Source organism: Homo sapiens, chromosome 17 (genome assembly GCF_000001405.40).
Source record: "Homo sapiens chromosome 17, GRCh38.p14 Primary Assembly".
In the NCBI taxonomy this organism is placed as follows: domain Eukaryota; kingdom Metazoa; phylum Chordata; class Mammalia; order Primates; family Hominidae; genus Homo; species Homo sapiens.
The window spans coordinates 34,655,502-34,666,592 of NC_000017.11; positions in this window are offsets into that span (position 1 = coordinate 34,655,502).

Below are 11,091 nucleotides of genomic sequence, written 5' to 3' on the forward strand. Positions count from 1 at the left end.
AATGCCAAGTGTCCATTCTCTAGCTGTCTTCCTGTTCCAATGCATGGTTCTGGAAGAACTCATGAGTTGTCAAATTATTATTTGTAGCATTTACTATGGTTGACATGGCAGCTGAGAAACATTTTTCTACATTAGCAATTCGTATGAATCATATGGTACATACGTAGGTCTACACGTAAAAAGTACGATGCTGATTGATTACATTTAAAAATGGCACATTTCATGTTACAGTTGTGAACAGTTTTATCTTTATAAAATATTTAATAATAGTTAAGTATGTTTTCCAAAAAATTAAATACAATTTTAGCTGTACTCAAATGGTTTTTGTTTAATTTTTTTATATTCATTAATCATGATGTGAATTACACCTTTCAATTTTATAGGTGATTTTGAATACTTTTTTGAAAGTATATGTGAGATAAGTATAATGTTTCAATTTTGTACTATACTTGAACTTAAATGTTTAAGAAAAATACCTTCAAATTTTGGACACTGAATAAGATTGCATTTTATTTTCTAATCCTTTACCTGGGTTGTCCAATACAGTATCTGCTGTTTACAAATGGCTATTCAGCACTGGACATGTTGCCTGGCATACTGAGATGAGCTGTAAGAGTAAAATACACACCAAATCCCGGAGACCTAGCATGAAAAAAGGAACATAAAATATCTCATTAATAGTTTTTAAATATTGATTCCCTGTTGAAATAATAACATTTTGGGCATATTGGACTGAATACAATATATTATTAAAATTAATTTCACCTGTTTCTTTTTATTTTTTTATGTGAGTCACAACTAGCCACATTTCAGGCTTGCAGGCCATCCAGGCTCTGTTAAAACTACTCTGCCCTTGTACCTCAAAAGCAGCCTTAGGCAATATCTGGAAAATTGGGTCTGGATATGCTCCAATACGACTTTCTAAAAACAGGCAGCTGTCTGCTGGAACTCACACACACCACACAAACACCCCCTTAAAGAACATGGGGTGCCTCCTGTCACTCAGAATTGTTATGTTCCAAGTTATATGGAGATCCTCATTTTAACAAAATTGATGTTAAATTTTAACCAATTAAACATAATGGCAAGAAAAATAAATTTTATGGAGTAATAATTTAAGCATTAAGTACATCTATTTTTGTGTAATTTTTATTATTCTTTTTTGAGACAGGGTCTCACTCTGTCACCCAGGCTGGAGTGCAGTATCACGAAAACAGCTCACTGCAGCCTTGACCTCCCAGACTCAAGCAATCCTTCCACCTCAGCCTCCCTAGTAGCTGGGACTACAGGCGCATACCACCATGCTCAGATAATTTTTGTATTTTTTTGTAGAGACGGGTTTTTGCCATGTTTTCCAGGCTACTCTCAAACTCCTAGGCTCAAGCGATCTACCTGCCTCAGCCTCCCAAAGTGCTGAGATTACTGGCATAAGCCACCGTGCCTAGCCAATTTTTCTGTGATTTTTAACACCAATTTATTCTAAATTTCTCATGATTCTGACGTCATTAAGGCTTTTGTTGTACTTGAGGTATAATTTACATACAGTGAAATGCCCTTATTTTAAGTATACAGTTGAATGAGTTTGGCTCAGTGTATATACACCATGCCAACATTCCAGTCTAAATAAAAGATAACTGCATTGTCCCAGGAAACACCTCATACTCCTTGTCAGTTAAACTCACCTCAGAGGCAACTGCTTTTCTGATCTCTATCCCCCTATATTCTTTTTGCCTGTTCTTGAACTTCATATAAACAGGATCAAGCATTATCTAGTCTCTTAGGTCTGGCTTCTTTTATGTGCCTTTCTATTATTACTCATCTAAACATCAGCAACCCGCAACAGAACACCAGCACACATACAGGAGAAATTTAATTCAGTTGTCTTCAATATTTGCCACCAAAGCTTTATACATATTTTTCGATTTTGTCATTGTGAAGGTATACTTGCCAAGGGAGGTGGATAAAACATATTTTGTTTACCAATCTGCTTGCTGAATTAATGACTTGTAGGTATTTAGACATGTGGTATGTGAGCCTCCCTTCTGCCCTTTGCCCTGGGCCCCACAGATGGTAGGTAGGCATGGGCTGGCCAAGGAGGGAGAGAGAACAGAGGCCAGTGCTGCAGAATAGCCTCCACCTTCCAGCCCAGGAGCCTGGCCTGGGAGAGCGGGGCAGAGGAAGGGGCTCTGGAGTGCCAAGCTGAAGCAGGCACTACCCATTCCATTAACAAACCTTTATTGAGCATCTAGTATCTGCCCACAGTGTGCTAAGTTTTAGAATTACAATGAGGAAAAAGTAAATAAAAAGACATCCCCTCTGGCTTCATGGAGCTTACAAATTAGAAAGAAGAGACAGATATTAATCAAACAGTCACATCCACAAGGGAGAAAACTTACAGGATCCAGCACAAATTTCCTTGACTGATATTCAGGCCTTTATTATTGCTGCCCTCAGTGCTGGAGATGCCCTTCTCACTCTTGCACCTACAGAAGTCCACATTCATTCAGCAAGGCCTGGCTCCAAATGCCCCACCTTGAGAAACCTACCCTGTCATCTGAATTTGTAGCCCCTTCCCCTGAGTTCCCATAGCACCATCCTGTCACCCCTCTTATCCTGTGCATCATGTTAGTTGGGCACCTTTGCCTCTGCATCTGTCCCTCCCACTGAGAGGTCTCTGGTATGGGGGTATGGGAATGAACAAAGAGGTGATGTGCTTTAAGGCCTGCTTTTTTTTTTTTTTTTTCAAGGCACGTTCTCACTCTGTTGCCCAGGCTAGAGTGCAGTGGCGCAATCACGGCTCACTGCAGCCGTGACCTCCCAGGCTCATGTGATTCTTCCGCCTCAGCCTCCCAAGTAACTGGAACCATAGGTGCACACCACCACTCCCAGCTAAATTTTTATGTTTAAATTTTTTTGTAGAGATGGTGTCTCACTATATTGCCCAGGCTGGCCTTGAACTCCTGGGCTCAAGCGATCCTCCCACCCTTGGCCTCCTGAAGTGCTGGAATCACAGGCATGAGACACCGTGCCTGGAAAGGCCTGCATTTGAGGCCTGGCTCTACCATCTCAAAGCTCTATGGGTTTGCCCAGGTGAATTCTCACCCCTGAGTCTGCTTCCTGGTCTGCACAATAGGAATAATGCTAGTTACTCCATACCGTTTTTGTGAAGATTAACTACGTCTACAAGCACATACAAACACTGAGTGGGTTAGTCTTCACACACACACACATTCCTCCCCTATTCATCTGCAAGGCCCAGGACCTGCTGAAAAAAGAGTTGTCCACCCTCACCTGGCCCTGTAGCCTCTGCATCCAGGGCTCAGGGTTCCTCAAAGCAGATAGACAGCTAGGACAGGGACGGAGAGGGACAGAGACAAGCTGAAGGCTCAGGGCCCCCAGGTTCCCTGGCTGGAAGAGCAACTGGATGAATTGGTCCCCACCTGTAACGTGACTGAGGGTAGGAAGAGGTGGCTCAGGGCCAGCTGCTAGGATGGACCCTGTGTGGTGACAGAACAGGTTCAGAGCAGCTGGGATCCAGGTGGGGACTGCCAGGAACAGGCCCAGGATGCTGGACCGGGGCCCAGAGCCGCTTTCCAAGGCCCATTTTCTCCCCATTCCCAGAGTGTGGCCACCACGCTGCCAACAGTCCTGGCAGCCCCCAGCCCCTCTGTTTCCAGAGCAGCCTGAGATGTTGCCAAGCCAGCTACCGGTGGGCAGAGGTGCCCCTGCCTGAGCTCTGAGAGTAATACCCTTCATCCATTTCATCACCAAGCTCCAGGCTCTCAAATCACGAGTGGCCCTGGAGCAAAGTCCCCACCCCCAGACAGAGAAGGCAGGACGGAGTCCTCATCTTGAACTCACTGCTTCCTCTCTGGAGCTTCCTTTGACCTGGCTGGTGCTTCCCCTCTTCTCACTTATAAAAAGGAAAGAGTAAGCTCTGTGATCCTATCTCCCACAACTCTGTGACTGTAAAATAAGGTGACTCAAGGGGATACGTTTTACACACGGGCCAACTTACTATGTGACCTAAGTCAATGTGTTGCCCTTCTCTGTGCCTTAGTTTATATGAGGCAGCACTAGGACAAAGCTAATATAGTGCTCCCTGACCCCATCTCAGAGAAAAAGGAGAGCACTTCTTAGCAGACATCAAGTTTTCTTTTTTCTCCTTAGAGAAATCAAGGTGGCTTGATTTCCACCTCCCATCTCCATCTGTCCAGGGAGGGTTCCCAAGTCCTGGAAGAAGTCCAGAGGGCCCCTATACGGAAAGATGAGTCCCCAACCAGAGCCCAGCTCCCCTACCAGCAGCCAGGCTCAGCTGGGCTCCTCCTGCCCCCCCCCATGCCAATTATTACTGGCCCTGGGCAGCTCCTCCTGGCAGCTCAGACCTCCACACCTTGCCCAGCTGAGTCTCTCCTCCTATCATTCCTTCCCTGCTCCTCCACACCTGTCATTATTTTTCCAAAATCATTTCATCTAATAGGGATTCCTCAACAGCCTGCTAAGGCCCAGGCACTGAACTAGGCATGGGGATACCACATAAATGAGACACAGCCCAACTTCATGGGGCATGTGGCCAGAATTTACCCCCAGCGAGCCCAGAAAGATGTGCTTCCTTACAGATATATACCAATAGTCAACATTTATTTAGTGATTACCAGGTTCCAAGGACAGAGCTGAGGGATTTACAAGGATCATCTCCTTGAACCATCTCCGCACATCTGTGCACTACAGATACACAGTGCACTGCACAGTAGGGCTCTGCCCTAACACTGATGGTGGGGAAACCAAGGCTGGGTAGAGGCTGTCCAGTGCAAAAACAAAAACGTGGGGTCTCTCTGATATCCTTCCCCATTCCCTGGATCCTTGCCCTGCTATCATTCACGTCCCAACTTTATAATAAAGCAAATAAGTCTGGCCCATGAGATACAGACACTGAGGCTCAGAGAGACTATTTCTTGCTCAAGGTGGCAATGTCTAATAGGGGCAGAGCCAGAGTTCAGACCCAGTGTGTCGGGCATTAAGTCGCTTACTCTTCGCCTACCACCTTATACCATGACCACATCTGGGCAATGAGGAGCCACCAAGTATGCCTGGGAAGACCTAAGAATGCTGAGGTGACTTTCAGACAAGGATGGACCTTGGTAGGTGAATAAGGCTTTGACAGGCAGACAAGGAAGAAAAGGCATTCCAACCAAGGGATAGTGTAGGCAAAGGCACAGAGGCACGGGAGTGCCTGGTGGGTCTGGGGAACACCAGGCTCTTACGTATGGGCAGACCCAAAGAGAAGCCAGAAGGAATGGGGAACATGCAAATTTTCTTTCTTTTTTTTTTTATTATACTTTAAGTTTTAGGGTACATGTGCACACTGTGCAGGTTAGTTACATAGGTATACATGTGCCATGCTGGTGCGCTGCACCCACTAACTCGTCATCTAGCATTAGGTATATCTCCCGATGCTATCCCTCCCCCCTCCCCCCAACCCACCACAGTCCCTAGAGTGTGATATTCCTCTTCCTGTGTCCATGTGATCTCGTTGTTCAATTCCCACCTATGAGTGAGAATATGCGGTGTTTGGTTTTTTGTTCTTGCGATAGTTTACTGAGAATGATGATTTCCAATTTCATCCATATCTCACCTTTTCTTTACAAGTGAGAGGCTGAGGCCCAGGAGAGCTCCACCCATCAAGGCCAAGTTGCCAGGTTGGGACTTCCACTCTCAGATCAAGCTACCTTTCTGTTTCTCCCCTCTTTCCTCCTTTCTTTGCCTCTTCTCCCTGTTCTCCTTCACTCTCTGCAAACCTTTCCTCCCTCCCCTCTCCCCTTCCTGCCACTAGAACCACCTGCAGGAGGTTCCCAACCTTCTGCCACCACCAAGGCTGCTCCCCTTTCTCTATCCCCAGCCTCCTAGACCTGGCCTTCCATTTGCTTCCCTACTACCTCTGATGGGCTTTACCCATAAGGCAGAGGGTGGAGTGAGGTTGTGGGAATGATTTTCCTAGTCTGTGTACAGGGCTCAGGCCACAAACTGCTCACCCACAGGTAAGATACAGGTCTCAGATTAGCCACTCACTTCAGCCTGCTTCCTGATCATGCACAGGTACCAGTGCCCTGCACGAGTGCACTGTGCCCTAGCACTGGGAGTGGGCAAGCCAAGCCTGGGTAGGGGCTGCCCAGTGCAAAAACAAAAATGTGAGGTCCCTTCTGATGGCTCCCTCCCTTTCCTTGCCCCTTGCCTTGCTGACATTCATGTCCCAACTTTATCATAATGCAAATAATTCTGGTCCATAAAAATGCAAATTGTCTGCAGAGGAATGCAATTGATTGTTGTCCTGTGGATGCTGACTAGATCACTAGGCTTTGCATCTATCTCTCTGTAATTTCGTGTCAGCATACCGTATCTGACCATATATGGGAGGTACCTGGAATTCTGCTTTGAACAGGTTGTAATATCTCATGGAGTCCCTCACTAATTAGTGAGTTAAATGCAATCTTTAACACATGTTCATTTTATTTCCATATGAGAGTCATGATTGTACTTTTTCAAAATCAATTATTATTTAATGCTCCCAAGATGGCAGTGGCCAGCTTTCATCTGAAAACTGAGATGGTTGGGATTACGGACATGGTGCCCTCAGTGGCAGGGGTGTGCACCCCAACGTCTGGCTGGCCCAGCACTGCTGCTTCTAGGTAGTTGTTCCCTTGTTATCATCCCTCCCTTAATGAAGCATTTGCTTCACTAAGATTTCTTTTTTTTTTTTTTTCAAACGGGAGTGGAAAGACTTCCGTGTTCCCTCCTGAAGGGAGGCCTCAGCCCCACACTCTGAGCAGAAAAGGGCCTTTCTCTTCCTAGTCATACCTAGCCCTTGAGTCTCACAGAGGAGGGCTCTAGAGGCCAGACAATGGGGACTCAGGATCTTCTGCTGGGGGTCCTCAGTCAGCCATTCATTCAAGCAGCACTAACCGAGCACCTACTAGGTGCCAGGTGCGCTGAGAATAGAGTCCAAGCAAAAGGGCTTCCAGCTCAGGTCTCTCTCACCTTCCCTTGGTCTTGACTCATGACTCACAGCCCAACTGGCCCTGGCTTCAAGTGGGGCCTTATGGAACCAGAGAGGCCCTCTGTGCCAACCCCATCCCTCCCAGCAAACCTGGCCGTAAGTCCTCCCATGGGAAGGAGGGCTCCCATAGGACTCCCGGGAGCTGACCCACCTCACTGACCACCCTCCTGCCCCCAAGGGAAAGCCTTCTCACATGACGCCTACTTCCCCAGGGAGGAAATCATCACCTTTTTCCAGCGAAGGTCCTGGATCTTTAGAGTCTCCCATAATAATTCAGTAAAAAGAGCACTGGGCTGGAGCAAAGTTGGAATCCTGGCTCTTCCACCAGTTACTCGCTGTGTGACCACTCCAATTTCCCATATGGAGGATGGGGACCACGGCACAATAGCCCCTACCTCATAAGGTTGTGAACACTCAGTGGGACCATGTAAGACATCAGAGCATAAGCCCAGCACACAGTAAACTCTGAATAAACGCTGTCTGCTATTACAGAGATTATTAATTAGTAAATCCCGCCCCCAGCCCCCATAAAAGGCTAAGTGAGGTCAGGGCTGTTAATTTCATCTCGTAAAGTAGCAAATTGAGGTCCAGATGACAAGGAGATTCCAAAATGTCTCTAAATGTAAGGTCAAGTACAAAGCCAGAAAACAAGAACCTGGGGACACCCCACCTCCACCTCCACCCCCACCACTACCACCAGTTTGAATTCCTCTCACCAATTCCTGGGGAAGATAAAAGGATGGGACAACCGAATGGCAGATGGGGCAGGAGGAGGAGGCTGGCCACAAAAGCCTGGGTACCCCAAATCCCAGGAGTCCTGTGCCCAGTTTGCTGTATCCCCCTTGGAGTAGTTGAGGGGTCACGTAGGTAGCACAGTCCTCCTGGGACTTCAGCTTGGAGCTCCAGGCACTCCCACCAGGGGCATATGGAGGGTGAGAGGCCTCTCCACCTGGGGCTCCCCATCTCCGTCCCTATCCTGCACTCTCTGAGCTGCAGCAGCCAGCAGGGAGCAGCAAGCAGGTGTCCTGGGAGGCAGGTAATGTGAAAGACTTCATGGAAGTTCATTAAAGAGCTATTAGAGGCTCCACTGCAGACCTGCAGATGGATGGATGGATGAACAGGAGAGTGGAGGGAGATCTTCCCAGGAGACCACAGCCCCACCTCCCCCTGCTGCAGCCCAGGCTGTACCCCCACTTTTCCCCCATGTAGTTTTGGAAGAGAGGAGGAACAGGAAGGCATTTCTGTTGATAACCAAGACACTCTCTTCTTTCAGGCCTGGTGGACCTGGCAGGGATCAGGGCGAAGGGTTCCAAAGGAGGAGAGGGTCAGAGTCCAAGAAGGTGGGGCTTAGATGGATCACAACCTATTCTGGCCCAAGCATCGTGCCAACGACAATAGGTGACCTTCATGTGGCACTTCCTCTGTACCAGGCACTGGTCCAAATGCTTTACTGTGCTATTTCCTTTAGTCCTCACAACCATTAGAAGGGAGCACTGTTATTATCCTCATTTTACTGATGAGGAAACTGAAGCACAGACAGGTTAAGTAACTTGTTGAAGCCAAGCACTGTGTGTACAGGACCCCACTGAATTATTCTCACAACTCTGTGGTGTAAGGGACTATCTCTATCACCATTTTATAGACAAAGAAACAGTGGCTGAGAGGGGTTAAGTAACTTGCATAAGGCTACACAGCTAGAAAGTAGGGCAGTGTGAATTAGAACACGGGAGTTCTTTAGCCTCCTTCACCCCAAGTTTGGGTTCATGATCACCATATCACATTGCCATCAACCCTGAAATGAAGGTGCATGATCACCAGTCCCATTTTCCAGAGGAAGAGGCCAAGGGGTGAAGTGAGTAGCCCAGGGCACACGGTTAGTAACCAGGGCCACCTGCATCTGGACTGGAGCACAGTCTGTCTGTCTCCGCACTCCAGGACACCAAGCACTCCTTCCACCCACACACATGGAGGCTACATCTTCCACATCAGGCCAGGCACCCCAGAATAAGGGACTCTATTTCCAGAATTTCTGCAGTCTCTAGCTGGGTGTCTGCGCAGTGTAGAGAAGATGCCTCCTCAAGCACAGCTGTCTAAAAACGGACTCAGCACTTCACAGGTAGGGAATTCCTCCCCTGGAAGGCCTGCATCAGAGACTGGAGGGCCCGGGGACACTTGGTGGGCTTGCTGGTGGGTGGGGGCCTGTTTTGAGAGGGCCTTGGTGGACCTGATCTCAGAGAAACTTCAAATTCCACCCAGTTCTCAAGAGCTTCCCGTGGAATCCTTGACTCTTGGGAGCCCTGCTCGTCCCCTTGGCACCTACCCCCTGTCCTGGGGGTCTCAGCCTGAGGTGGACAAGAGACCTACACGGTACACTGGTTCCCGGTCTCGACTCCCCTGCTCCCCTTCTCCAGCACTTGGTGGCCCTGGATGGAGGGCCCTTCCACCCTGGGCCTTGTGTGTTTGTCCATTTTGCACTGTTATAAAGGAACAGCTGGCGCTGGGCGATTTATAAAGAAAAGAGGTTTATGTGGCTCATGGCTCTGCAGATGTACAAGCATGGCAGCAACATCTTCTTCTGGCCAGGATCTCAGGAAGCTTTCACCATGAAGGAAGGTGAAGGGGGAGTAGGAGTGTCTCATGGTGAAACAGGAAGCAAGACAGAGAGGAGGAGGTGCCAGGCTCCTTTGAACAACCAGCTCTCATGTGAACCAGCGGAAAGCAACTCCCTCAGTACCCAGTACCCTGGGGAGGCCACCAAGCCATTCATGAGGGGTTCACAGCATGACCCAAGCACCTCCCCCCAGGCTCCACCTCCAACATTGGGGATCACATTTCAACCTGAGGTCTGGAGGGGACAATTCTCTAAACCATATCACCTTGTCTCTCTGAGGGGAGCAGAGGATCCCACCTCAAGTCCCCGCACACATGGAGCCATGAGAGTCCCCACCAGGTGGAGGCAGCCAGGCCCAGGACACTCAGAAACCCACCCCCACGTGCACGGCCCCACCCTGGCGCAGGATGAATGTGTGGCAGGCCCGTGAGGAAGGCCGCCTGCTGTTGCCCGAGGCGGTTGTCTGGAGGAAGGGCACAGGACACATGGGAGAGAGATGGAGATTGAGAAATGGGGGGAAATTAAATGACAGAGAGACATAGGGGGATTTACCAAGACCGAACCACAGGAAAAGATAGAGAGAGAGCCAGAGGGCGTCCCAAAGGCAGAGAACCACGCAGAGAAACAAATCTACAAATCCAAATATAAACCTTGAGGAAGACAGGCAGTGAGAAAACAGGGAAAAGAACAGACATAGAAAAACGGAGGAAGATGGGAAGGGGTATGGCAGGGAGTCGGAGAGAACGCGAAATTCCAAACGAAACACAGAGACCAGGTGCAGGAGAGAAGGTACACAGCAAGGGGGCAGTGAGGAAGAAAGGAGAGAGGAAGCAGAGCGGGGACCGCAGGAGGAGGTGGGGCCTGGAGGGAGCCGAAGCAGAGGGGCCCAGCACCCCCACCCCACCCTGATCACACGCTGCGGCATATGGCTCCTGATTTCCTAGAGGCACGAGAGTGATAACCATTAATCTCTATAAATAATTTTACCAACCCAGGCTTCTAAATGGGTTCTCTGTGTCTGTGAAAGCTTTTAAAAACCATTTGCTTGGTAAACATGCAGGCAGCAAACAAGGCCTCTCCCTACCAGCAGGAGAGGAGGCTGGAAGATCAATTCGGCTGGGGGGATAATTAGAAGGGAGAATATGTGCGCAGGCTCGCCCTGCTGCCTCCTTCCCACCTGGGGCCACGGACCCCGCTGATGAGGCTGCTGAGACCCCTGGCTCTTCACCCTACTTGCACCATATTCCTCTCTTCCCTGCTCGGTGGGCCTGGGCGGGACACCCTGTGGGCATCTCAGCCATTCCCCTGTCCTGATCCCACAGCAGGGATGTTTTTCTTAACCGAACCCTGAGGGAAGGTAAGATCTTGGCTGGTATTCCTAAGCATTTAGGAAGTTCTTCTTCATCTCTACCCCGAGTTCCTCATG